A 27,557-nucleotide genomic window follows, 5' to 3' on the forward strand; every position below is an offset into this window, starting at 1 on the left:
ATTGTGCCTCAACCTCCTGAGTAGCTGGGAATACAGGCATGCACCACCACACCCAGCTAATTTTTGTATTTTTACTAGAGGTGGGATTTCCCCACATTGGTCAGGTTGGTCTCCAACACCTGACCTCAGGTGATCTGCCCGCCTCGGCCTCCCAAAGTGCTAGGGTGTGTTACAGGTGTGAGCCACCGCACCCGGCCACAATTGCTATAATATGAATGAATTCCACCTCCAGTGTTGGCCTAACTCTTGCAGGTGTACTATGATTGCATCTCTTTTCTTAGTCCATGTTATAAAATTTCCCTGTTTGGTAACTTGCATAATTTACTAGACACATATCTTTATTTCCAATACTCCATCAGGCACCTTCTACAGAGTTTTCCTTTATTCTAGAATCCCTATCCCCAGGTATCCCTCTTTCCCTTCCATCCACACACACACACACACACACACACACTGCTCCTCTCCCACTCTAATCTGGTCTGGGTGGTCTCCAAGTTACGTAAACAGGTGGTTGTCATCCTGAGGTGTCTCTGCCTCTCTTTTGGCATTGATTCACTGTTTCCTGATTCCTGTATCTTTCTTATTCTTGGCTTGTGCCACCATTTTTGAGGAATACATCCTCTAGGAAGTTCTACAAAAAAGAATGCAGGATATATTAATGTTTTAGGTTCTTTAGGTCTAATATTGCCATCTTTATGCCACTGAAATGGTAATTTGGCTGGTTATAACAGTCTGAGGGAAGATCATGTGGCCTGTGCATTTGGAGGCCCTTGATCCACACTGTTCTGCATTTGGAAGCGCTGCTGCACTGTCTTCTGCACTGGGAAGTCGCTTATGCACCGTCTGACATATTAGGAAGGCACTGCTCTGCCGTCTCTGCATTTGGGGGCACTGTTCTGCTGTACTCGGCATTTGGATGTTACTGCTCACTGTACTCCAGCTGGAGGCACGGCTCCAACATTCTCTGCATTTGGAAGGAAACATTCCAGTGTTTTCTGCAGTGGGAAGCCCTTTTTCCATTCTTCTGTGGATGTGGAAGGCACTGCTCTGCTTGTGTGTTTGGGGGACACTGTTCTGCTGCTCTCTTCTTTACCATCATCTTCATCTGCAGGCACAAACCCTGTCTTCTGCTGCAGAGCCACTGCCTCCCTGCCCTTTGCAGGCTGAGGCACTGCTCCACAACTACTGCTTCCCTTTGGAGTCAATGCTCCCCTGTCATCTTCACTGACCTGGGACTGCTTGGCAGTCTTATGTATTTAAAGAGACAGCATTCCCTCTTTGCTCTGTATGTGGGAAGGCTCACAACCCACACTGTTGTATTGGGAGGCAGGGCTCCCATGCCCCTTGCACTTGGCTGTCTCTGCTGCTCTCTCACTTTCATCTGGAGTCACTGCTTCCCTGCCCAGTGCATTTGGAAGGCACAGCTGCCCTGTCCTCTGCCTTCGGTGGAACTGCCTCACTCCACTGTGCGCTTCCATGGGCCTGCCCCTTGTCCCCTGCATGTGGAAGGCACGGCTCCACTCTCCTCTACATTTGGAGGCATTTCACTGTGATCTGCCTTTGGGGACACCACTCCATTTACCCTGTGGTTTGGTTTGGATCTATGTCCCTTCCAAATCGCATATTGAAATGTAATCCCCAATGTTGGAGGTGGGGCCTGATGGGAGGACTGGATCATGGGGACATATCCTTCATGGATGGCTTAGTGCCGTCCCCTTGGTAATGAGTGAGTTTTTGCTGTGAGTTCACGCGAGATCTGGTTGTTTAAAGGTGTCTGGCACCTTCCCCTTCTCTCTCTTGCTCCCACTCTCGCCATGTGACCTGCCTGCTCCCCCTTTACCTTCCGCCAGGAGTGAAAGCTCTCTGAGTCCTCCCCAGAAGTTGAGCAAATGCTGGCACCCAGCTTTGTGTACAGCCCACAGAACCGTGGGCAAGTTACATCTCTTTTCTTTCTTTCTGTTTTTGAGGCAAAGTCTCACTCTGTCACCCAGGCTGGAGTGCAGTGGTGTGATCTCAGCTCACTGCAACCTCAACTTCCTGGGCTCAAATGATTCTCCTGCCTTAGCCTCCCGAGTAGCTGGGACTACAGGTGTGAAACACGATGCCTGGCTAATTTTTGTATTTTTAGTAGAGACGGGGTTTCACCATGTTGGCCAGGCTGGTCTCGAACTCCTGACCTTAAGTGATTGTCCTCCCAAAGTGCTGGGATTACAGGCGTGAGCCACCGTGCCCAGCCTCTTTTCTTTATAAATTGCTCAGTCTCAGGTATGCCTTTATGGCAATGCGAAAACAGCCTAACATAACCTGTGTCAGAGGCTCTGCCCACAGCCCTCCACATTTGGAGACATTGGAGCTCTTGTCCTCTGAGTTTATGTGGATGTCACTGATCCAATGTCGTCTGCATTTGGAGCTGCTGTTCCACATCATATGCTTCTTTATTTTTTTGAGACAAGGTCTTACTCTGTCACTGAGGCTGCAGTGCAGTGGCACATTCAATCATAGCTCACTGTAACCTCGAACTCCTGAACTCAAACAATCCTTCCACTTCCCAAGTGAGTCCTGTGCTTCTGGAAGGAATGGCTCCAACACTCCCTGTCTTTCTAATGCATTGATAATCCACTCTCCTGTGCATTTGGGGGGCCCTGCCCCACTGTCCTCTGCACTTGGATGTCACTGCTCCACTGCCGTCTTGATTTTGAGGTCCTTTCTCTGCTGTCCTCTGCATTTGGAATGATCAGCTGGAGTGAGGCAGGCATTCGCTGCAGCGGAACTGCTTTGGTCACTGACTTCATCTATTTTCCTGCCAGCTTGGTAGTCCATCCCTAAGAGCTCCATGTAGCCTTGCTGGTCCCCAGTGGTCCCCCAGAGCACCCCATAGGCTGCCCAGACCTTGGCAGGGAGCGTCTGCATCTCTACACATGCCGACAGTGGGTGTTACACCCTAAACTGCAGCTGCCCCCCAACTAGCTGAAGGCTTCCTGAGATATGTTCTGGGCCCATCTGCAGCCTAGGCTCCTCCCGGCCACCCAGCTGCTTCCTGCCCCACCCCTTGTGACAGCGTGGAGGGCACCCACCGTCTCCCACCCTCCTTTCTCATGCCTATTCCTTACTTGTGTGTATTGGTCCCTGAGGCTTGGTGCAAAGGCTCCTTATATTTAGGGTGCAGGCTGCGGTGGACGTGGAAGGTGGGGGGAGAGACGGCCAGAGGCAGGAAAGGGATCCTGATGCCCCCTCACCAGCCCACATAGAAAGGTCAGGAGCTTATGAGGTGGGGGTGCCCCTGCCCTACAGGATAAGAGCTGTTTCCTGTGAGGGGGGCCTGGGGCTGCCCTGGCAGTGGCTCTTGGGCCTCCTGGCCCACCAGAACGTCCTGGCAAGCTCACAAAACTCACAAACACTGAACTCCACTTCTAGAGATTCGAATTTGGGAGCTCTGGGGCATGAGCCAGAGATCTGCAGGTGATTCTGACAGGCAGCCAGGTGGAGACATGGGGGTGAGAGATGAGTTTTCTTTGCAGCCCACCCAGAGAGGAAAGGCCTTTCCTTTCAAAGAGCCTCAGAAAGCAATGGTCCAGGTCCTTCCTGCTTCCTGGGAGATGCCACATGGCTCTACTTCTGAGGGGTCTGTGCAGTGGGTGTGGGAGCACCTGGGGCTCTTGGGTGTCAGGTGTCCTATGTCCTCTCCCATGGTCTGGGGAGAGCATGCACTTTTGGTCTGCAGAGTGCACCAGCTGCGTAGGAAAGGGAAATGCTGCTGGGAGTGGGACCCTGGAGGCCTGCGCCAAAGTGCCTGCGCTCGTCCTTCCATGCCTTGAACCAGGTGTGGGTGGCCAGGTCTGTAAGGCAGAGAATGTAAGTAAGAAGTGGGGGAGAAGGCAGGGTAGGGTCAGATCTCTGGCTCCTCTCAGTGTGGAAGATGGGAAGCCAATGCCGCTTTCCCCTGACCTTCCCATTCTGCCTCCTTACCCTTGGGGGCGGCTCTTGTCCTGGCTCAGTGCTCCTGGCCCTGCCTCATCTCACTGTCACTGTCCTGAGAGGGAGTCCAAGCTGCAGAGCAGGGCTGGGCAGTGCAGGACGACAGCACAGGCCCCAGCTGCCAGACCTTTGACCTCCAGGGCCATCTAGCCTTACAAAAGCATCCTGGGCATCTCGCCACATTATTAACTCACAATAACTTGCGGTCAGCTAATCCTTTATGGTCTTTCTGTTTCCACAAACAGTTGTGAGTCTGAGAATCCTTGAGTTGGCCGTTTCATCCTCCCTTTCGGGCAGTGGGTATGAGCCCCATTCCAGTCTCTCCAGATCCCTTCCAGGCCTCCTCCTGCCATCGGGACCACACACTTTCCCCATGGTTCTGTGCAGTAGGTGCTCTGATGAGACTGGTTTCCAGGTGCTGAGCAGGGCAGGCTGTGATCAGAGTAGGTAATGGGCCGCCAGAAACTTCCTTCAGGCTTTGGGTCTCACGTTTCACCCCAGCGTGGCACCCCCATCCCAGGCTCCGGGCTATGGTTGGGCAGGCTCATCTTTAGGCCTAGCCCTACCTCTTCCCGGGCCCCACTGATGAGAAGCCTCTGCTCTTCCACCCTGGACTCCCAGAACTATCTCAGGGACAAAGGATGCAATAGAAAGTCTGTCTATTTCAGCTTGTTAGTGCAGAGCTCCTGAGGACCTGAGCAGGTCACATCAGGAGACTCCGGGGGCCCCACAGTGCTCGGGAGAGTTTGATGGACAGTGCTGTTGTGAGCCCCCAAGAGGCAGAAACAGACACATGGCCCCTCCAAAGGGGGAACACCAATGACCTCTCCTTCCACTGATGTGGGGGAAGAGACTGAAGGGGAGAAGGTGTCAGGTTAGGCCCAGCGGCTTTTGGCCAACGTGTGTCCACTGTCTTTCTAAGTCCAGTTCTAGGGGGGCTCCGTGATGCTACCAGACCACACATGGCTTCAGCAGCCTCGAGGTTCTGCACACCAGACTTCTGTCTCTGTCTCCTCCCCAGGGGTCAGGGCTCCAGGGCCCCAGGGAGAGGGGCAGCTGATGCCAGTGTCAGATGTGGCCTGAGCCTAACCTTGAGACAAGTCCCCTGCTGATCTTGGAGAGAGAGGGCAGCCGAGGAGGCTCTGGGCAATGAGGAGATCTGGGTCAGGCTGGAAGATGCTGCTTTCCCATTTGACACAGAGGCCATGGAGAGGGGGCAGAGGGGACTCACCTGACCATGGAGATGGGGGAAGAGCACTCACCTGGCCATGGACCATGGAGAGGGAGCAGAGGGTACTCATTGAGGGGACCCACCTGGCCATTGAGAGGAGGCATAGCCTATCCCGTGGGCCTGGGCTGCAAGGACTGAAGTTTTTAGTTGACCGGAAGCCTTCCTACAGCAGGTCTTTCTGGAGGATCTGTTTGATTGTGGCCTGCTTTTTCTAGAAACTCACCCTGCCACAGGGAACCAGAGCACAGCCATCCCTGCCTGCAGGCCCCTGCCCTCCCAATCTGACCACTTCTAACAAAGCTCCCTGAGGCCCTGATGTCCCGTGGCCTTCTAGTGCCTTACTGGCCTGCCGTCGCCGTCATGGGGACTCTCGACACTTTGCTGAAACCCTCACACACTTCCACACTTGGGCAGCCTCTGTTTGGGTTGCATCCCATCCTTACTGCCTGGAGAGGCTCATGAAGAAGGTCCCAGGGCTCACTGAAGAGCCTCCTCCCTTTCCCACCCGACCCACCTCGCCCTTCCTCACCAGGCTCACTCATCACAGCGGCACAGAGTTTTAGTTTGGGGATTCACCCATTCATTCTTCTTCTTTTTAAAAAATCTATTTATTTATTTATTTATTTGAAGACCAGGTTATGAGACTGGCTAATTTTTTTTTTTTTTTTTTTTTTGTATTTTTGGTAGAGACAAGGTTTCACCATGTTGGCCAAGCTGGTCTTGAACTCCTGGGCTCAAGCGATCCATCCACCCCGGCCCCCATAGTGCTGGGATTACAGGTGCCTGCCACCAACCCAGCTAATGTTTGTATTTTTAGTAGAGATGGGGTTTCACTATGTTGGCCAGGCTGGGCTGGAACTCCTGGCCTCAAGTGATCCACCCGGCTTGGCCTCCCAAAGTGCTGGGACTATAGGCGTGAGCCACTGCACCCGGCCAGGGGTTTTGGTTTGTTTATTTTCATGGCCCTTATGGGGAACAGATCTTATCTTTAAATGTATTCAGATGTGCTTTTCCAAAGTTTCGAGACTGGAGAATATGCTGAGAATATGCTGGGTTCTGTGTTCAGGGCTGAAGAGGATGTGACGGTGAGTAAAACTCAGTCCTGTCTATGTGGGGGAGACAGACAGGTAAACGGGTAATATGGGGGCAGGTTTCATATTAAGGGATGCCTTGAAAGGACCCCTCACTCAGCCTAGGGGTCCTAGAGAAGGTGACCACTGAACCAAGCTTAAAGGATGAGCAGAAATTGAGTGAACGTGGAGGCTGGGGATAAAGAAGGGAAATCATGAGCAGGGCCAGGATGGAGGGGAGTGTGGTAGGGTGAGCCGAGGACTGCAGGATCTAGCCAGGGGAACGGAGAAGGGCTCCAATGTTGGAGGGCCCTGGAGACAAATTAAGGAGTCCAGTGTAGGAGCCGCTAGGAGGTTTGAAGCAGGGGAGCCTGGGGTCCATCTGCATTCACGATGGTCCTTTCTGAAGCAATACTTAGGAGGGGTGCTGGAAGGCTGGATGTCTGGCTGCATGCCAGAATGAGGGACAAGAAGTCAGGCAGGGACCCACATTTTGGGAGCGTGGTGGTCAAAATGCTCCAAAATATTCCCAGAAAGGCATCCCAGAGGCCTGTTCCCCCATGGCCACCATGTGCCACAAGCTTGGGCCCAGCCGCTATGCTTACTCCATATAAGGCTGTTGTAGCCAGAGGGCCCTGGTGGACTGGGAGACCCTGCCTCCGGTTGGGACCATCAGTTTCCTCCCACTAGGATGAAGAGTGTGGCCTGTGGTGCTGGTGGGACTCATAGTAGACCACCTGGGAGAACACATAGACTCAGATCGGCAGGGCAGCCCTCTCTGCCATGTTGGATGAGGAGAATCTATTCTGCAGAGGAGGCCAGCGTGCACTGGGGAGAGGCCCCGTCCCAGAGAGAGGGTCTGAGACAGACATGGGGGCACTTGATGGATTTCCTTTTCCGGGATCTGAGCCCTCCTGAAGGACCTTGGACTCCAAAAGTGCCCTTGTATCTCTATAATAAATCCTCATGTTTCAAATTCTTCAGCTGACCTAAGTGGGTTTTTCATTGTTGCCATCAAAAATGTTGACTAAGACAGTGGCCGTGCGTAGCCTTGATGATCTGGTAAGTGGGTCTTTGTCCCCTTGAATTGGTTTAAAACTCATTCCCAGTGTATGGCATGGATAGCAGAGGCAAGAAAGAAGAGGAACCTGTCTTCTTGCCTGCTGTTTCCTTGAGAGTGTCTGAGCATCTTGCTGGTCTATTCCCAGCATGGCTGTGTGAGGCAGCCAGAGGGGCCCTGGGGCTTTCTGGAGGGCAGAGTCCCTTCCCTTGCTGAGGTCTCCATCTCTCCCCGCCTCTTCCGCACCTTGGGGCTGTGGGGTTTGGGGAACATCGATCTTCTGGAGATGCGTGAGTCAGGGTGAGCACGTGGCCCCAGGAGGTGTTTCCAGGGCAACCAGGAGAAGCTTCTCCTGGTCAACCAAAGAATTCCCCACGGAGGTCAGAGGGTGCCAGGGGTCAACAGGAGCAGAGAAAGTGCAGGTATGCCCAGAAAGATGTGAGGGAAAGGAGGGGCCAGGACCCCCCTTGGCCTCCCATCCCCACTTCCAGAAGCCCTGCAGCTGGGTGGCCTGCCCTGCCCCCCAAGCCCCTTAGTGGCTGCCCCAAGGGCACCCATGCTTGTGAGCAGCCCCCACCTGCCTGCTTGCTGGGCTTTTCCAGGGAATTCAATTAGGGCAGTGGCTTCCTTGCCTCCTCTGCCCAACTCCAGGGCTGGATCCTGAACCCCACCTGCTCTCCCACACAGGGCTGGGGATGGGTGGAGGCAGGGGCTGACTGGTGGATCCGATGATAAATTGTTTATTGGGATCCTGCTGGGGGGAAGGGGAACTGTCCTGTCCACTCCTGGCTTGGCTGCTGACTCAGAATAGTCCTTTCTTCCATGCATCTATTTCTCCATCTGTTCAACAGGCAGATTCAGCATCTTCATCCCGCCCTGGGCTGAAGAAGAGGCTTGGTATGTTTTTGTTTTTCCTAGGGGAATTATTATCTTCAAACTACAGTGTTTTCACCATACACACAAATAAAAACAATAGCAGTAGCCAATGATTGGCTTAATTATGACAATAATTGAGAAGAGAGAGGGGGTGGGAGTGGAGCACGTGGGGCCAAAGCTGCTTATTTCCCAAGTCTCCAAGGGCTTTTACTACTAACCAGGAAGCTGGGACCTGAATTCCCCCACCACTAGTGCACCCGAGTCAGAAGACACAAAATCGCCTAAGCGGCAGGTGCTCGGGTGAGGGCTGTGTCCATCTTGCTGCTGATGGGGTGGTTAGAAAGCCATCCCAGGGGAAGGCATTCTTTCTAACAGCCTAAATTGGAGGGAGAAGGAGAAGGGAGAAGCAGTGAGGCCCTGGAGAGACCAGCCCTTCCTCAATGCAGCCTCTGTGGAACCAGGAGCCCCCAACATAGATGCTGGGTTCAGGTGAGTCGGGAGGAAGGGCTGTGGGAGGGCCTAGGCACAGCCTGCACTGAGCTTCACAACACAGTCATAGGCAGTGTGGCTAGGGGCCTCTCTGCACACCCTGGGGTTGGACCCCTACAGGAGGAGCTGGCCCTGGACCCTCCCTGGGGTCCATGGCCAGCTCCCACCAGACCTAGGGTGCCAGGACACCCCTAGACTATTCTTCACTGCATCCCTGATCCTCATCTCTGAATCACCCTTTGATGAAGCCCCACTTCCTGTCTCACCCCACTGTAACTGGACTATGCCTTCTACCATTGTGTTCTCTCATCCCCTGGCTCTGAGAAAGTCACAGAGGCAGCAATGGGGAGGGTAAGAGCTCTACTGTGGGCCCAGCCCTGATTCACACGTAAGGCCCTAATTGCCTGATAACCCTACCAGGGACAGCAGGACATCCCTGAGCCTCTCACCCACCCTGCAGACCATCCTGAACTACTGCCCTGGGCTGAGCTTGGGGGTCCTGGGAGCCATGGAGCCAGCCCTTCTCTCCAAGGCTCCCAGTCAGGGGCAGGGAGCTGCCATGGAATCTCACAAACTTTGATTACTTATTTAAATACGAGTAACACGCGTTTAGTGCACAGAAATGAGGAAGTACACGTGAGCAAAGGAGAATGAAAAATTGCCGGCAACTCCACTGCAAAATGATTGCTGTTTTACACCTTCACTGTGTGTACTGATCTGTAATCTTCTTTTTTTTTTTTTGAGACAGATTCTCGCTCTGTCACCCAGGCTGGAGTGCAGTGGCACGATCTCAGCTCACTGCAAGCTCCGCCTCCCGGGTTCATGCCATTCTCCTGCCTCAGCCTCCCCAGTAGCTGGGACTACAGGCGCTCGCCACCACGCCCGGCTCATTTTTTTTTTTGTATTTTTAGTAGAGACGGAGTAATCTTCTGTTTGAGGAAATGATCACCATTTTACACCTTCGCTGCGTGTGCTGGTCTGTAATCTGCTATTGGCGGAAATGATCACCGTTTTACACCTTCACTGCGTGTGCTAGTCTGTAATCTGCTATTTGCACTTATGAGTGCATGTGAATATTTTTCAGTCACAAGAGACATTTCCACGGCATGTTCTTTAGCAACTGCCCAGTGTGTGATGTAAGAGGCTCATTTTGCTGGTTCCTCAGTGGTGGCTTTCAGGACTGTTTCTGATATCCTCCAGCCCTTCAGTGAATTTCCCCATGACCTGCTCAGCTACAGGCGACTTTCTGGGCATTGGGCATACAGCTGTTCACAAAACAGAGACCTGTGCAGACACGTTTCTGGTCATATCCTATCAGTTCTTTCAACTGCTGACTGGATGAGGTATGGCCAGGCCAAAGGGCATACCTCTGGGATTTGCCCTCCCAAAGGCCTGTGCGTGTCAGGGTGGGCCTCTGTTCAGGATTGGCCTGGCAGTGGGCACCGGGCATGACCTGCAGGGACAGAGCAGGTTCCAGATGAAGCAGGGAGAGCAAGCCTGGGTCCTGGCCCTGTGTCTCTGGTTTTATGACCATTTTGACCAGGGCTTCACCAAGCAGCTGTTTTCCCAGCTCCTAGACTGGGCTGCTGGGGCTGGGCATGGAACAGAATATTTGAAATGGGGCCATTCTAGGTGATCCCAAGCTGCTGAGGTGCCTTTCGGACCCAGCTGGTGGCAGCCGTTGCCTGCAAGGATCTAGGTGGTGGGGAGCCCAGGCTTCCACCCGAGGCCACCAAGGGCGGTCCCAGCCTGGCCCTGCCCCCTACCCTGTGCCTCCACCCCTGCCCTTCCTATGCTCCAAGGCAGGCAGGGAGGCGGGAGGCCAGGTAGCTCAGGAACCCAAACCTGTCGGGCAGGTTTTGAGAGCTGTGGAGAGAGGGACAGAGGCTGGAGAAGGATGTATGGCCTGCCCTGGGCTTGTCTGTTCCCTCCTGAGCCTGAGCCCCTTACCTTCCTGACCCCATGAAGCACACACTGGCTCTGCTGGCTCCCCTGCTGGGCCTGGGCCTGGGGCTGGCCCTGAGTCAGCTGGCTGCAGGGGCCACAGACTGCAAGTTCCTTGGCCCGGCAGAGCACCTGACATTCACCCCAGCAGCCAGGGCCCGGTGGCTGGCCCCTCGAGTTCGTGCGCCAGGACTCCTGGACTCCCTCTATGGCACCGTGCGCCGCTTCCTCTCGGTGGTGCAGCTCAATCCTTTCCCTTCAGGTGAGTGTGCCCCTCCCCCATGAGGGCCTCAGCATTTGGGTCCCCAGCCCGGCTTCCTCTGTCCCACTCTACCATGGGATGTGCCCAACCTACAAGCAGGCACTTGCCATCTTCCTGGGGTAGAAGGCGGAGGATCTGGGGAGGGCTCCAGAACCTGCTGTGTGACTGTGGGTAAGCCTCACTTCCTCTCTGAGCCTCAGGTGCTCTGTCTGTAAAGTGAGGAGGTTACATTGGAAATACATTAGACCTGACTCAGACATCCTCTTAGTCTATCGGTGCTTGGGTTGGGTGGTCCAGGAGTGTCTGAAGGACCCTCCCAGTCCTGTCCCTTGCTGCTTGAGGGGAAGAACTGCCAGGCCAGACCCCTTCTCTGCCTTTGCCCAGGCTCAGGACTGACCTGTAGGGTCCAGGAGGAGAGGTCTGCAGCCTCCTCTCTGCTCGCCCTCCTGTAGCAGTGCTGAGGTCAGGGCAGGATGGCACAGGGCTGCGGTGATGCAGCCTTCTGCGAGGGTGCCATGGTGGTGGCAGGAGCCCTGCCTCAGAGCCACTTTGCCCTGGCAGTGGGGAGAGGAGGGACACAGGGGCAGGGCAGTGGCTGTCCCCAAATCCTCAGCTTGGCTCTTTCCCATAGAGTTGGTAAAGGCCCTACTGAATGAGCTGGCCTCCGTGAAGGTGAATGAGGTGAGCAAGCTGGGGAAAGGTGCTGGGGGAGGGAGTTCTGGGGTGAGCAGCAGGGTGGGAGCAGAAAAGCCTTGGCTCCCCTTAGCCCACCTCGCTGGGTGTCCACTAGGCAGGGGCTCAGGCATCCTCTCCCCTCCTCTGTGGGCGCTGCAGTCCGTAGACCTGGGTGCAAACCACAGCTCTGCCATTTACTGGCAGTGAGGTTTGCAGGGAGCTGGAACTTCCTGAACTTCAGCTTCCTCCTGTGTAAGATGGTGATGAGCAGTAAGAATGCGGTCACCTCTGGGACGGGTTCCATGAGATGCAGGCCATGCCCCTGACGGCACTCCCGCCCCTTCTGGTTTCCCTCTGGACTCAGGCAGAAGCCAGGGCTGGGCAGTGGGGGTCGGGTCACCCCTCATGCCCTGCTGCCTGCCCAGGTGGTGCGGTACGAGGCGGGCTACGTGGTATGCGCTGTGATCGCGGGCCTCTACCTGCTGCTGGTGCCCACTGCCGGGCTTTGCTTCTGCTGCTGCCGCTGCCACCGGCGCTGCGGGGGACGAGTGAAGACAGAGCACAAGGCGCTGGCCTGTGAGCGCGCGGCCCTCATGGTCTTCCTGCTGCTGACCACCCTCTTGCTGCTGTAAGGCGCTGCCCAGGGCCCGGGTAGGGCGGGCTGTGGCCCCCAGGCTCCCTCTTACCCAGCAAGCACCTTCCTCCTCCCTCCATTCCCACAGGATTGGTGTGGTCTGTGCCTTTGTCACCAACCAGCGCACGCATGAACAGATGGGCCCCAGCATCGAGGCCATGCCTGAGACCCTGCTCAGCCTCTGGGGCCTGGTCTCTGATGTCCCCCAAGTGAGCACTGTTACCCCTCACCCTCATGTGCCCCTGTGAGCACTGGGCCCGGGCAGGACAGAGCCGAGTGGGCCCTCGATGGCCCATAACCAGCGCATCTGAAAGCCGCCTCCTCTCCCGCCCTTGCCTGAGAGTCGACCACCCTCAGGGTGGATGCCATAGGGGCAGGGAAGGGGCCAGGGAGAGAAGGGCGTAAGGACTGTGGGTGACCAGGAAGGGCAGCCTCAGGGCCTTGTGTTTGCCTAGGAGCTGCAGGCCGTGGCACAGCAATTCTCCCTGCCCCAGGAGCAAGTCTCAGAGGAGCTGGATGGTGAGGGTCTCGGGGACTGGCAGGTGGGCTGGCTCCTTCCAGGGCCCCTGCTCGGGTGCCTCGGTGGGGGCCTCTCACTCCCTCATTCTGGACACCCCCGGGAACAGGCTGGTAGAGGTGGGGATCAGGCCGGCTGGAGAGCAAGAGTGGCCGCCACTCAGCTGCTGGAGGAAGAAGCCGTGTCCCCGCTCCTTCACTCCCCTCCACCCCCCGGCTCCTGCAGAGCCCGGTGGGGCCTGGGGAGGCAGGATGGGAATGGGGAGGGCCCCTCCACTCTTGGGGTCCCACCCTGCAGACTGCCCTGTGCTCTGCAGGTGTTGGTGTGAGCATTGGGAGCGCGATCCACACTCAGCTCAGGAGCTCCGTGTACCCCTTGCTGGCGGCCGTGGGCAGTTTGGGCCAGGGTGAGCTGGAGCCGCATCCTGGATAGTGTGGAGCCCAGCGGGTGTCCTCCTGGGGCGATCCCACCTGCACCTAGCCCTGGATTTCCTGAGCCACCTCTGCCCCACCTGTGACTTCCCCATCGCTGTACCCCAGGATCCAGCCCCCCTCCCCTGGCTTAATGTGCCCTGGGGCAGTTTCCACTGTAGGCAGGAGGTCAATGATTTGCAGGTCCCTTTGGCTGGGGGAGGGGAGTTCTGCCTCCTGCAAGGCGTCTGGGGATGCATATGGTGGACCCTGCTCAGGCTGGGTGTGGGTCTCTCAGTCCTGCAGGTCTCCGTGCACCACCTGCAAACCTTGAATGCTACAGTGGTAGAGCTGCAGGCCGGGCAGCAGGACCTGGAGCCAGCCATCCGGGAACACCGGGACCGCCTCCTTGAGCTGCTGCAGGAGGCCAGGTGCCAGGGAGATTGTGCAGGGGCCCTGAGCTGGGCCCGCACCCTGGAGCTGGGTGCTGACTTCAGCCAGGTGCAGACCCAGGACAGAGTCCTCTTAAAGCCACGGAGGGCTAGCTGCCTGCTGCTCCTGGGATCTGGCAAATTCCCAGTCCCCTTGCCCCAATGTTCCTCCCTTGCTCCACCCACCCAGGGTTAATGCGGGTCATCCTGGCAGTGGGTGGAGTGCTCCCCAGGCCACGCCCTGTACGTGAACTTCATGTGTGTGAGCTCCTTGAGTTCTTGCTGCCACCAGGGGCAGTAAGAGCCATGGCAGTCCTCATTTTACACTTGAGGACATTGGGGTTCAGAGGCCCCTGCCCCCCTCATCCACCCTCAGGGATCCCCTTCAGGCCTCTCCATGAACTTTGTCATAACCCACCTTCCCCCATTTCAGGTGCCCTCTGTGGACCATGTCCTGCACCAGCTAAAAGGTGTCCCCGAGGCCAACTTCTCCAGCATGGTCCAGGAGGTGAGAGCCACCTGGTCTGCCTGATTTCTCCCTCACCTGCCAAGTGAGGGCCTCTGTTTCCCCCTTTTGGGCAGGAACCCAGTTGAACCTAATATTTGGGGTCCCACCCACCACACAGCACCCTGGGCAGGGGACTCCCGACGACCATCCTTGGTGTGCACACAATCTGTGCTCAGATGGGAGAGCTGGGCCCTTCAAGGCGGCAGGCGTCTGGGGGTGGCAAGGGAGCAGTGCTCAGTCTGAGCCCAGAGGGCAGGCGGCTCCCCTGGGTGGAGATGGGCCAAGGGGGAGGATGCGGTGTTGTGAGTCAGCGCCCAGGACCCAGGACCTGGAGCTGGGGAAATGATGAGTCAGCCATGCTGGGTGGCTGGAGTGGAAGGTTCCAGAAGGAAGGAAGTCAGAGCTGAGGCTAGAAGGGTGGACTGGAGCTGGACCTTCAGGAGCTAGACCTGGCAGTTGTGTGGAGGGCGGCTGAGAGTTCACTGCAATGGTGGGAGAGGGATGGGGGTAGGAAGAAGAGGTCCGGGAGGAGCAACGTTTTGGGAAGTTGAGTCAGACTGGGCCAGGGGATGGGAGAGGAGGGCAGCGACCAAGAGAAAAGAGGGAAACTGGGAGCACTGAGGGGGGCCCTCCCTCTAGGCCTGGTGACTTTGGGGTCTCCCAAGAGGGGACACTGGGCAGAGATGGGGAGGCCCAGCACTACTTGGTTCCTGCAGGAGAACAGCACCTTCAACGCCCTTCCAGCCCTGGCTGCCATGCAGACATCCAGCGTGGTGCAAGGTTAGGCCACACGGGTCAGAGGCAGCTGCCAGGCATGGCTTCCCACCCCACCCCTACCAGGGAGGCTTGTTGAGAGAGGACTGGGGTGGCGGGGGACTGTCTTCCCTCTGTGGTTCCCAGATGTTCTTCCTGCCCGCTTGTCTTGTTCCTGGGCCCCAGGGTGCCCTCCGCATCCCACAAGTCCCTGTTACTTTGGGCAGAGCTGAAGAAGGCAGTGGCCCAGCAGCCGGAAGGGGTGAGGACACTGGCTGAAGGGTTCCCGGGCTTGGAGGCAGCTTCCCGCTGGGCCCAGGCACTGCAGGAGGTGGAGGAGAGCAGCCGCCCCTACCTGCAGGAGGTGCAGAGATACGAGACCTACAGGTGCTGGGCACCGCAGGGTGGGATGGGGTGGGGTGGGGTGGGCAGCCCAGCCTCTATGCCACCCTGACACCCTGAGCCCCATTCCCAGCCTCTATCAGCCCCTGACTGTACTGAGCCTCTGTGTTTTTTGTTTGTTTGTTTGTTTTTGTTTTTTTCATTTTTTTTTTTTTTGAGACGGTGTCTTGCTCTGTCACCAGGCTGGAGTGCAGTGGGGCGATCTTGGGTCACTGCAACCTCTGCCTCCCCGGTTCAAGCGATTCTCTTGCCTCAGCCTCCCAAGTAGCTGGGACTACAGGCGTGCGCCACCACGCCCAGCTAATTTTTGCATTTTTAGTAGAGACAGGGTTTCACCATGTTGGCCAGGATTGTCTCTATCTCTTGACCTTGTGATCCACCAGCCTTGGCCTCCCAAAGTGCTGGGATTACAGGCCTTAGCCACCGCGCCCGGCCGCTTCTGCATATTTTTAAGCCAAGACCCCTGACTCCAGAGGCCTCCAAGTCCCTATGAGGCTGTGTGCCCTTGGAACCTGAGCCTGGAGACCACACAAGAGCAGTAGGGCCTCAGGAAGAGTCTGTATCTGCATTTCTGAAGCCCCAGCCTTGGGGTTAGAGGCCACACCCGGTCGCCACGTCCCGCACCTGTCCATGTTGGTGCCAGCCACCTCCTTTCTTAGTGACACCCATGTCCTCTCTGTGGCAGGTGGATCGTGGGCTGCGTGCTGTGCTCCGTGGTCCTATTCGTGGTGCTCTGCAACCTGCTGGGCCTCAATCTGGGCATCTGGGGCCTGTCTGCCAGGGACGACCCCAGCCACCCAGAAGCCAAGGGCGAGGCTGGAGCCCGCTTCCTCATGGCGTAAGAAAGGGCTGGGAGAGGGGAAGGGTCCCCTCTTATAGGGCTGGCTGATTACTCTCGCTCCTGAGCATAGCTCCCGGTGTGGCTGCCAGTGTCAGTGTCATCATCTGAATAAAGGGGTTGAACCAGAGCAGGAATGGCCAACAAGGAGCTCTTCCTTCCTACAGCAGGGGCAACTGTAGCACCTAATGGGCACTCCTTACCCTGAGTCAGACACAGCCTAGAGTCCCTACCCCAGCTTCCAGGCGGCCCCCACCACCAATAGGCAGCAGCACCAGAGGTGGAATCTGTTTGCCAACCCCAGACTAGACGGTCTCTAAGGCCAAGGCTGCCACATACAGTTGTACAGGCTGTTCACTGAACAAGAGTACCTGGCTAAGGGGGTAAGTGGGGGCTGAAATCCACCCCATGTTTTACTTTCCAAGCCTCACAGCCTGACATGGGGCTGTGCCTGCCTCATAAGCCCTTCGAGCCCCCTGGTCTAAGATCTTTACTCCTCAGACCTGCTGGGATTCTGCCCTGTCGGCAGGTCATGCCTGGTCATGCCAGGTGACCCTTTTGAGTGCTGGGTCCTGGAGTAGGTCACCTCCATGGGCCCTAGGCACAGAAGTGAGCAGTCTTGGCTCTTTGGGTTTTGTTTGTTTTTTGTTTTGTTTGTTGTTGTTGTGACAGGGTCTTGCTCTGTCACCCAGGATGGAGTGCAGTGACACCATCATGGCTCACTATAGCCTCACCCTCCCAGGCTCAAGCGATTCTCACACCTCAGCCTCCCAAACAGTTGGGACTACAGGCGTGTGCCACCACCCCCAGCTAATTTTTAAAATTTTGTAGAGACATGGTCTCACTTATTGCCCTGGCTGGTCTCATACTCCTGGACTCAAGCTATCCTCCCACCTCAACCTGTCCTCCCACCTCAACCTCCCAAAGTGCTGGGATTATAGGTGTGAGCCCGGATAGTCCTGGCTCTTTGAACAAAACAGCTGTTTTCTCCTCTAGGCTGCCAGGGCCAGCCAGGGAACCAGGAACAGGGTGGGGATGAGGTGAAGGTGAGGCCGGGACAGTCAGGAATACTGGGTTCTCCCTCCTCTCCAGGAGGCCAAGTCCTCCAAGCTCCTTTCCTCTAAAGGCTCTGTGCTGGGGCCAACTGGCTGAGCAGGCTGGCCCTGGGGTGAGGGTGGGACAGAGGGTATGGTCAGGGCAGCCAGTCCCTGCTGTCCCTCAGTCCTGCCTCTCGCCTACCCCAGAGGTGTGGGCCTCAGCTTCCTCTTTGCTGCACCCCTCATCCTCCTGGTGTTCGCCACCTTCCTGGTGGGTGGCAACGTGCAGACGCTGGTGTGCCAGAGCTGGGAGAACGGCGAGCTCTTTGAGGTAGGCCTGTCTCTGCTCACAGGCCCTCCTGGGGAGAGAGGTGGGGGGCGGTATCAGCAGAGCAGGAGGGTTGGGGGAAAGTGGGGGTCGGGGGGTAAAAGGGAGAGAGGGAGGGGAGGAGTGAGACAGACATGGCCAAGGAAAGAGACAGAAACCCGCCAGTGGATGGTGGAGGGAGAGAGCACCCATGAGTCCCTGAGATGCTGCCCAGGCCCCAGGGCAGGGACCCTGAGAGATGGCACCCTGACCCATTCCCTCTCATCTCCTAACACTGTCTGGGAGCTGGGACCCTGGTGCCCGGTGAGCTGCGATGCTGGACTGGGTTCTCTGCAGAAGATCGGGCTGGGCAACCCTCCTAGGGATTCATGGGAAGAGCCCCTGTAAGGATTTGGGGCCCAGGGGTCACCAGAGTTAGAGGCCAGGTGTGAGCTGGGGTGAGGGGATGTTTCCTACCCCTGGTCTGTGCTGTGCCACAGCAGCACAGGGCCAGGCCCTAGGGGACCAGGGTGGCCTTGCCCCCACCCCGCTCTGTGCCCATTTCTCACTGCCCCATCCCCAGTTTGCAGACACCCCAGGGAACCTGCCCCCGTCCATGAACCTGTCGCAACTTCTTGGCCTGAGGAAGAACATCAGCATCCACCAAGCCTATCAGTGAGTGGACAGCCTGGGCAGAGCTGGGACCGGGGAAGGAAGGAGGAGGGCCGGTGTCCCTCAGGGGACATCAGCCCCCCCGCCACCCCCAAGGCTCATCGTCTGCACCCCTCACTCCTCCTCAGGCAGTGCAAGGAAGGGGCAGCGCTCTGGACAGTCCTGCAGCTCAACGACTCCTACGACCTGGAGGAGCACCTGGATATCAACCAGGTGAGAGAACGTTTTGGAAACTGTGAGGAGCCCTCCTCAGATCCCCCTCCTCTGGTCTTTTTGCCTCTGTGGAGGCACCGTCTCTTTGAACCTAGGAGACCTGAGAAGTCTGTGTGAGCGATTAAGGTGCCCAAGGGCAGAGGCCCAGTTATCAGCTCTGGGGAAGGTTCCGGGTGTGTAGGTGGGTCCGTGTGCACCTGAAGGCTATGTCCAGCCCCAAGCACAGCCAAGGTGGCAGCAGGAAAGGCTGGTGACAGTGAGCAGGAGGATGAGGGGGCCCATGTGTCCTGACTGAGGACAGGCATTGGCTGGGATGCTCCACTTGGGAGGGGGAGGCTGGGGAAGGACGTGGCAGTGACAAGGATGGTGGTGAGTCTGGCTAACGTTGGTGGAGGGCCTGCCAAGCTCACGCAGGTGGGAGGTGGTGGTGGCAGGATTCCATCCCCAGCCTGACAAGCCTCTTCCTGTAACCTCTGGAGTTACTGGAACTTGGTGTGTAGAACTGGAGACACTTGCCAATGCTGGAAAGAGACAGTTCTAGAATGAAGGCAAGGAAGGGCTGTTTCACAAGAGGGATGGACTTTGAGAATGGGGCTCTCCTCATGGTGCACAGCAGCTGGAAGACATTCACTCCTCGACTTCCACGCTCCTAAGCATATGCTGGGGAAACCCACATCCCCTGGCCCTGGTTCCCCTCGCCCTCCCCAAACACAGAGCATGCTAACTCCTGATTTTGCATCGTTCTGGGAAACCCTTCCAACCCCTGGATCCACCAACCAGCCTCGGCCCACGGACAGCACAGCCGGATGGCCCAGCCCCAACTCTGTACCTTGAACTGCACAACCTGGGACAGTTATGCAGCTCACTCCTCCTTCCGCATCTTTAACCAGACAGGAGCTCCCCGAGCAGGCGATATCTCAGTGCTAGGCTGAGACACTGCCCTGTGGAGGAAGCCTGGCCAGGGAGGGATGAACCAGGGGCCTGGGCAGAGGAGCCCCCATCCTCTACTGGCAGGAAGCCATGGCTCTCGAGGGGAGGAGTCCTGGGCTCTGGTCCTTGGCAGGGGAGGGTCCAGCTCACAGGAGAGTCTGGATAGATAGGGCTTTGGATTCAGATGCACTGGGCAGTCCTCTGAGGCCACCTGACAATGTACCAAATGTGGCTGTAAGAATCCTCGTCCTCAAAGGAGACACTGATGGGTAGGCAGACATGAGTAACACACAGGGCTTTCCAGAGCACGGGGAGGGCACCAGCCACCTTTCCACTTCTCCTGAAGCTGCTGCCACTGATGCCTGAGACACGGCCCGAAGGCCCCCACCCGAGAGGGCCAGGCCTTTTCTCCTCCAGGAGAAGGCAGCCTGGAGGGATGCGGGGAGGAGAGCCAAGCTGGGCTGCAGTCTCTAACCACCTGTGTAACCTCGGCAAGTGGACGCTCCACTCTGACCTCAGTTTCTTATCTGTTAAACACTGGGCTGACTTTTATGACCTCTAAATCTCTTCCAGTGATAGTAGGAAAATGCTAAGGCTCTTTCCTGAAAATACAGTTTCATTCATTCATTCATTCATTCATTCATTCATTCATTCACACAGCTAACAAACTTGTCTCCTGCCCACCATGTGTGACCCTCCGAGTTAGATGCTGGGGGTTTGGGGCTGAATAGGCAGGCAAAGTCCCACTCTTGTGGAGCTGACAGCATTGAACAATTAACCCACAAATAAGATCATTTCAGAGCAACAAGTGCTTTGAAGGCCTCGACACAGCTGATGGGATAAAGAGCGGCTGAGAGAGCTATTTTATTTCAGGTGGCCAGGGAAGGTCTGTGTCTCTGCCCAGAAGCCAGATGGGCACTGGAGGAAGGCCAGGTCTTGGCATTTGGGGCAGGGGCCTACTGGGAGCCTGTCTGGGGCTTGGGGTGTCCAGGGCAGGGGGCCCTGAGGGCCTGCTGTGTGAGTCTGTTCTTGTGTTGCTATAAAGGAATACCTGAGGCTGGGGCATGGTGGCTCATGCCTGTAATCCCAGTACTTTGGGAAGCTGAGGTGGAAGGATTACTTGAGCCTAGGAGTTCAAGAACAGCCTGGGCAACATGGGGAGACCCTCCTCTACAATTTTTTTTAAAAGCCAGGTGTGGTTTCTTGCACCTGTAGTCCCAGCTACTCGAGAGGCTGAGGTGGTAGAATCACTGGAGCCCGGGGGATCTAGGCTTCAGTGAGCTGTGATTGTGCTATTGCCCTCCAGCCTGGGCAACAGAGCAAGACCCTGTCCGCTTCCCCAACCAAAAAAAAAAAAGCAATACCTGAGGCTGCATAATTTATAAAGAAAAGAGGTTTAAGTGCAGGCTGTACAGGAAGCATGGCACCGGCAGCCGTTTCTGGGGAGGCCTCAGGAAGCTTCCACTCATGGCCGAAGGCCAAGGGGAGCCAGCACATCACATAGGGAGAGAGGGAACGAGAGAGCCAACGCAGAGGTGCCACACTCTTTCAAACACGTGAAATAACTGAGCAAAACTCACTCATCACATGGCAATGGCACTAAGCCATACGTGAGGGATCCGCCCCCGTGATCTAGTACCTCCCACCAGGCCCACCTTCACCCCCAACACCGGGGATCACATTGCAACATGAAATTTGGAGGGGACAAATATCCAAACCATATCGCCTGGTGACCCCTGTGCTTAGGGGAGCATCTCTGGGGTCCTGGCTCAGCAACTGGGCATGACTCCCACCCTGCGCCTGCTCTCCCAGTATACCAACAAGCTACGGCAGGAGTTGCAGAGCCTGAAAGTAGACACACAGAGCCTGGACCTGCTGAGCTCAGCCGCCCGCCGGGACCTGGAGGCCCTGCAGAGCAGTGGGCTTCAGCGCATCCACTACCCCGACTTCCTCGTTCAGGTCAGCGGTGGGCACCTCAGCAGGGCTTCCTCAGCAGGTGGTGATGGAACGAAGGGGCCCACAGAGGAGCTGGGTGTGCATCTTGCCTTGTCCCAGCTCTGGCTCTTCCACATTTCCTGGGGCCTCTTCCTGTGGAGGTGTCCCCAGATCATGTGCCCCTGGGCCTGTCCTCCTGCCACCACCCCGGTCACACAGGAATGGACAACCTCTCCCCCAACCCAACAGCATGTGTTGCTGTTCATGGTCCTGAACCCACTGCTGCCGAGGACGCATTGGGAAGTTGCCTCTTCCTTAGTTACACCAGAGGGTGCCTTATTTGTTCTTGTTGTTTCTATCTCACTGGGAAAATGTCTGAAATATTTCACAGTTCCAGGGAAAACTCACTGTGACTGATGTGTCACAATACACTTAGCTGGTGTAGGTTATATTTGATAAGACTGGGGATTTGGAGGCTGGGATCAGGTGGTGGTGGGCCCCAGGGGAGCTGGGTTCATCCCTCCTGGCCTCTTCTGTCCACCTGCAGATCCAGAGGCCCGTGGTGAAGACCAGCATGGAGCAGCTGGCCCAGGAGCTGCAAGGACTGGCCCAGGCCCAAGTGAGTGGGAAACAGGGCCCCGACTGGGCAGCAGGAGCCACAGGGGGCTTGGGAGGCGGGAAAGGGTGGGAGGATGTGAGGGCAAAGGCAGGGAACTGAGGACCCCCACCAGTGAGGCCTGAGGCTCCTGACCCCTGGCTGGGCTGGAGGGTTTTGCAGCATCAGTTCTGACTCAAGCTCTGCCACCCGTTGGCTGTGTGGCCTTGGGCAAGACATGCAGCATCTCTGAGCCGGAGGTTCTTCATCTGTTGGGTGGACTGTCCTCCATCTCAGAGCAGATGAAATCACTTCTCTGGCCTCACGCAGTTGGGCAGGTGTTTCTGTGTGTGCCACTTGTGGGATTTGCTGGGACAGGTGCTGTGAGGACATTGGGATGAATGAGATGTCATGGCAGTTGCCCTTGAGGGGAAAAATAGCATTTTGTATTTATAACTATTTAGGGTTTAAAAGTTCTCTTTGAAACATCCCATAGGCCCCACAACAACCCCACAGGGTGGGCAGAGCCAGAAGCATCCTCAATTTCAGCAGGTGCCCCTGCAGCTCAGGCATGTTCTGTGACTGACTTAGGGGCACCCAGCAAGCTAGAGTGAACCTAGAATTTGGATCTAGGCCCCCCAAACCAAGATCAGGCCCTGGAGCTTAAGGAGGCCTCAGTTTTCTGCCTCTGAGCCCAGCACTCCCACTTTCTCTTGGTATGTCAGACTGAAAGGCTGGGTGACGGGTAGATGGGTCCTGGGCGGGGCCGTTCTGATTTTTGTATCCTTTCAGGACAATTCTGTGCTGGGGCAGCGGCTGCAGGAGGAGGCCCAAGGACTCAGAAACCTTCACCAGGAGAAGGTCGTCCCCCAGCAGAGCCTTGTGGTCAGTTTGGAGGCCCGGGGAGCCTGGGGCCTGGGGGAGGGGAGACGTGGAGAGGGGACAGTGAAAGGGGAGGGAAGTTCTGAGAGTCCCTTCCCTCCCCTCCTCTCCCCTCCTCTCCCCTCCTCTCCCCTCCTCTCCCCTCCCCTCCCCTCCACTCCCCTCCACTTTCCTCCCCTCTCCTCCCTCCCCTTCCCTTGCACTCCCCTAACCAGCCCTGATCTCTTCTCCACAGGCAAAGCTCAACCTCAGCGTCAGGGCCCTGGAGTCCTCTGCCCCGAATCTCCAGGTGGCTGCTGTTGGTGGGGACGTATGGTGGAGCACAGGGGCTGCAGAGGCGGGGAGGAAGTAGGAGCCCATCTCACTCTGCACCTCAGAGCTCTGCCCAGGTTGCAGGTGGGGTTGGGAGGAAGATGGGGGTGGCAGCAGAGCCTGGGGGATCACCACCCTTGGCTTGTCTGTTGGAGCTGAACCCTCTCCTGCTGAGTGTGCTGTGGTGTGTGTTGAATTAATGAATGGATGCGTGAATGTGGGACACTGAGTTGAGGCTCTCGTCCCCTCCAGCTGGAGACCTCAGATGTCCTAGCCAATGTCACCTACCTGAAAGGAGAGCTGCCTGCCTGGGCAGCCAGGATCCTGAGGAATGTGAGTGGTGGGTGGGACAGGGAAGGGGCTTCCACCCCAGGCTTCTCCAGTCCCAGCTTCTCACTGTGGCTCCCAGGAAAGCTGGGCCTGTCCTCAAGTTGCCAGGCATGGGGGGTGGCGTGGGTGGGGGGCACTGCTGCTTCTGGGACCCCTACAGCTCAGACCTCCTTTCCTTCCTGCAGGTGAGTGAGTGTTTCCTGGCCCGGGAGATGGGCTACTTCTCCCAGTACGTGGCCTGGGTGAGAGAGGAGGTGAGTGGGGCCTCAGAAGCAATGACTGATTCCCTGCTCCATCGGACCAGCTGTTCACCCTGCTCTGCCCCGCCCCCGCCCCCGGAGCCCCTTGGGGGTGACCCAGGCCTTCAGGATCAAACCCAAACTCCCAAACCTGGCATCTGCACCCCTGCTTGCTGGCTGAGCTCTGTCCACCCCACCTCTGCTGCAGCGCTTCCCTGAGCTGAGTGTGAGCAGGGTTGGCGTTCTCCAAAATGTTTCATCACACCTGGCCTGCAGGTCCTTCCCTGGGCTGGCCCTTTCCCCAGCTTGTCCAAGGCCAATCCTCAAAGCCCACCTCCCGATGCAGACCCTTGCTGAACACAGCCTCTGCAAGCTGTCTGGATGCCCACACTAGGGCAACAGTGGTCTGGTTTTACCCTGAGTGTGTCTGTGTGTCTATGTGTGTGTGAGTGTGTGTGTATGCATGCACACACATGTGTGCTTTCAAGCACTGTGGCTTGACACACAGTGCTGGGTCATAGTAGGCCTTAATCCAGGCTGGTGAACAGATGGAAAGGGGAGGGGCCCAGCGAGGAGTCTGTAGAGTATGTCCGCATCTGTCTGTACCTGCCTCTCTGCATGTGTATACAAGTGTGCGGTGGCCCCAATGGTGTCCCCAGGCCTTTCTGTGTCCCTGTCAACCACTCTCCCTGAATTGAATATGGGTGTGCGCCTGTGGGTCCAGGTGTCTCTGCATCACCTGCCTCATGTTGGCGCCACAGGTGACTCAGCGCATTGCCACCTGCCAGCCCCTCTCCGGAGCCCTGGACAACAGCCGTGTGATCCTGTGTGACATGATGGCTGACCCCTGGGTGAGTGCCCCAGCTCATCGGGGCTTGTTCACCAAGTCCCGGAGCCTTCCTGCTCTCCAGGGAGGGCCGGGTGAGCAGGGTGTGAAGCCAGGCATGGCCTCTGCCCCGGCTCTGATGACAAGGCAGCTGGGTGAGGCTGGGTGCCACGTGGGTTGGTGAGCCGACCTCACGCCTTGTTGCAGAATGCCTTCTGGTTCTGCCTGGCATGGTGCACCTTCTTCCTGATCCCCAGCATCATCTTTGCCGTCAAGACCTCCAAATACTTCCGTCCTATCCGGAAACGCCTCAGGTGAGGGGCTGCCAGGGCTGCAGGCAGCATCAGGGGCCAGGGAGGTGTCCTTTCAGCCGCCAGGGTCCCCTGTCACAGCCCCTCCTGAGACCTCCCAGGCAGAGGAGGCTCATGAGCGAGCCCTGAAGAGCCACACTCTGAGGAGCTCCAAAGCCAGGAAGTTCTCCCGTATGTCTGCCCCTTACCCTTCTTGCTGCATCCATTTGGGCGCAGCTTCGTGGGACCCTTCCCATCCCCCACAGGGCTTCCGAGGAGAAACCCTCAGGGCTCTGGGTTTGTCCCTGTGTCAGGGCTGAGGGTCTGGGGGGAAGGGTATGCTCACTCTCTGTCTTTGACACTGCAGCTCCACCAGCTCTGAGGAGACTCAGCTCTTCCACATCCCCCGGGTTACCTCCCTGAAGCTGTAGGGCCTTGTGGGTGAGTTTTCCCCAACTCGCTTAATTGCTCCCTGCCAGGGATTAAGGGAGTGGGGTGGGGAGGGGCTGGGGTCTGGGGTTTCCAGGGCCTAGGAGGGCAGGAAGGCTTGGGGACATGGTGGAGTCTGGGTATTGGGTGTGGCCCATCCAGCAGTGGGGCTGACAGCCCTGTTCTCCCCTCCCTCCCCTTCACCCGTTTCCTTCTTAATCCCTGACAGGGTGAGGTGACCCTGAGGCTGCCTGTCCTCCCCTTTGATTTAGCCTGGGCCACAGGACTTCGGTAGCTCTTGCCCCAGAGCCCAGGCTGGCATCCAGGCCTGGACTGTCCCCAGTTCCGGCTTACCTGGCCCCACCTTGCCTGCTCCTTTCCACCCCTTTCTGCTCACGACCCCCATCATTCACGCTCAGAATCACATGGGACTTCTGTGCAGCTGCAGAGCCAGCAAGTCCCTCCAGGTGTCACCCCTTACCCCCATGCTGGTGGCATCCTCACAGGAAGAGCCTGTTCTCCACCTGCTGGAGCCTGGACCCTGGGGTGGGACAGAGGCCTCGTCCAACCCCACTCCCCTTCCCGTGTGTCTTCCCCCTGCCAAGCCTCCCCCTGCCAAGCCTCCCCCTGCCCCTCTCTGAGCCCCTCGCCCCCCACACCGTCCTCATCTGGCCTCCCCCCTGGCCCCCACTTCCCTCTTATGCCCTTCCTGGCCCTTTGCTTCCTCCCTTAGTCCCCTCTTCACCATATCTCCACTGCTACCTTGCTGGCCCCAGAGACCACCCTGCCCAACCAAACCACTCAGGTAACGCCACTAATCAGGCAGGGGCCACCATGGCCTAGGTCTGGGCTGGCTGCAGGCCCTGCCTCATGGCCTCTGAGCCCTCCACTGCCCCAGGGCCTTGGGCCCTCTGCAGATCTCATCCAGGATTTATTGGTGTCCAGTGGGGTGAGGGAGGCCTGTCTGAAGGCCGAGCCTCCCTGCCTGCACCCAAGTTAGAAATGGGGGTACCAGCACTTAGCTTCTCTCTGAGTGCTGGCTCCCAAGGAAGGGACCTGGGACCTGGGCCACAGTGGGGGCTTGCCCTTACCTCTTCAGAAGGAAGCATCTTCCACAGCCCCCACCCAACTTTCTTAGGAGTGATCTGGTGGCCAGAACAGGATTTTGCACGGCCCCTTTTATCCTGCGCATGTGGCCTAGGGTCATCCCCAGCCCATCCCTGTGTCAGCCCTGAGTGCTGGACACTGCGTTCCAGAAATGAGGAAGAGGAGAGAGAAGAGATGGACAGACCTCAGATCCATTAAAGTGTTCTCACTTCCCTGAGACTTGGTTCTGGGTCCTTAAAACCAGGTTTCCTAGGCTGGGACCCTGTACATAGTTGGTGTTTAATGAGTGTTTATGGAGAGGAGAGTTCTAAGGTCACCTCTGGCTGCAGGCATCCAGGGATTATTCCAGCAATCTGCAGGTAGGGAGTGGGTCCCAGCCTGGGAGCCTGCTGTCAGGAGCAGGCAGACCTGGACTCACAGCCTGGCTGTGATGCTTGTTCGCTCAGCTTCTCCATTTATGAGATGGGGAGAATAGTCACAGCCTCCTCAAAGGGTTGTGAAAATCAAATGTGATAATTTGTGGAAAGCCCTTAGCAGTGGCCTGGCACAAAACAAATGCTCAGTGGATGGAAGCTGCCTATTATTATTGTCGTTGTTGTTGTTTGCCATGACTGCTCTGGGCCGGGGGTAGAGCTAGCATCCGGGCATGTACGAGGGAAGAGGGAGGCAGGCCTCTATTCAAAGGCAGAAATTCCTTTAAGATTGTGGTCTGCTGGGTTTCAGGGAGTGTCTGTGTTGTTTGTTTTTGTTTGTTTGTTTGTTTTGAGACAGGGTCTCGCTCTGTCACCCAGGCTGGAGTGTAGTGGTGCAGTCTTGGCTCACTGCAACCTCCACCTCCTGGGCTCAAGCGATTCTCATGCCTCAGCCTCCCGAGTAGCTGGGACTACAGGTGTGTGCCACTATGCCTGGCTAATTTTTGTATTTTTTGTAGAGACGGGGTTTTGCCATGTTGCCCAGGCTGGAAGTGTCTATGTTTAACTGCATCTTATAAACCAGCAACAAGTTTTCTACTGGGAATTAGAATGGTGCATACACAATGTATTATTATCACTGTCAGATGAGCATGCTTGAATGTAGCATGACTGCCTCTTTTTGCTTTTCCTAGAGGTTTTTTTTTTGCTTGTTACTCATCTGTTGACCTACCTGGGGGAAGTAGCACCCTTGCATTTCAAAAATAAAATTGATGGCATTACAAATGGAATAGAAACCATTTTTAAAATATTTTCAGTTCTCTTTCAAAATTACCTATTTTATCTTTTATATATTTGAACATATTAAGCATAGTTATTTTAAAGTTCAGTTAGTCCCTTATATGGAGCCTCCATGAGTCTGTTTCTAGTGCCTGTTGTTTCTCTTGTTTTTTGTTAGTTTTGTCCTG

At 56.6% G+C, this 27,557-nt stretch overlaps 1 protein-coding gene across 7 annotated transcripts, besides 1 other annotated feature; it reads left to right on the top strand.

Annotated features, from left to right (window-relative positions):
- Nucleotides 1,042-1,226: a silencer, noted in NCBI's record as "fragment chr2:95930712-95930896 (GRCh37/hg19 assembly coordinates)". NCBI's record gives its function as "represses an EF-1alpha promoter that drives an FKBP-Casp9 reporter gene in an ReSE screen in HepG2 liver carcinoma cells {active_cell/tissue: HepG2}" and the evidence as "EXISTENCE:reporter gene assay evidence [ECO:0000049][PMID:32094911]".
- Nucleotides 10,527-27,380, top strand: PROM2 (prominin 2). 7 transcript variants are annotated; one of them, XM_047443449.1, is made up of 24 exons: nt 10,527-10,907; nt 11,539-11,588; nt 11,947-12,210; nt 12,305-12,425; nt 12,672-12,735; nt 13,050-13,139; nt 13,442-13,644; nt 14,008-14,082; nt 14,799-14,862; nt 15,063-15,222; nt 15,923-16,075; nt 17,320-17,443; nt 18,003-18,094; nt 18,220-18,304; nt 21,047-21,193; nt 21,717-21,788; nt 22,557-22,649; nt 22,882-22,935; nt 23,211-23,291; nt 23,474-23,542; nt 24,289-24,378; nt 24,561-24,667; nt 25,011-25,084; nt 25,302-27,380. In XM_047443449.1, exons 2-23 carry the CDS (start codon nt 11,584-11,586, stop codon nt 25,072-25,074), a joined length of 2,277 nt encoding a protein of 758 aa, XP_047299405.1. In that variant the 5' UTR covers nt 10,527-10,907; nt 11,539-11,583; the 3' UTR covers nt 25,075-25,084; nt 25,302-27,380. The 7 variants fall into 7 exon arrangements, with proteins under 7 accessions (XP_047299405.1, NP_001307999.1, NP_001159450.1 ...); NM_001321070.2 differs by having other exon boundaries at nt 13,442-13,574; nt 26,211-27,380; NM_001165978.3 differs by having other exon boundaries at nt 12,008-12,210.
- Nucleotides 27,381-27,557: the final 177 nt, after the last annotated feature.

The sequence above is a fragment of the Homo sapiens genome, chromosome 2 (genome assembly GCF_000001405.40).
Source record: "Homo sapiens chromosome 2, GRCh38.p14 Primary Assembly".
NCBI classification, from domain to species: Eukaryota; Metazoa; Chordata; class Mammalia; order Primates; family Hominidae; genus Homo; species Homo sapiens.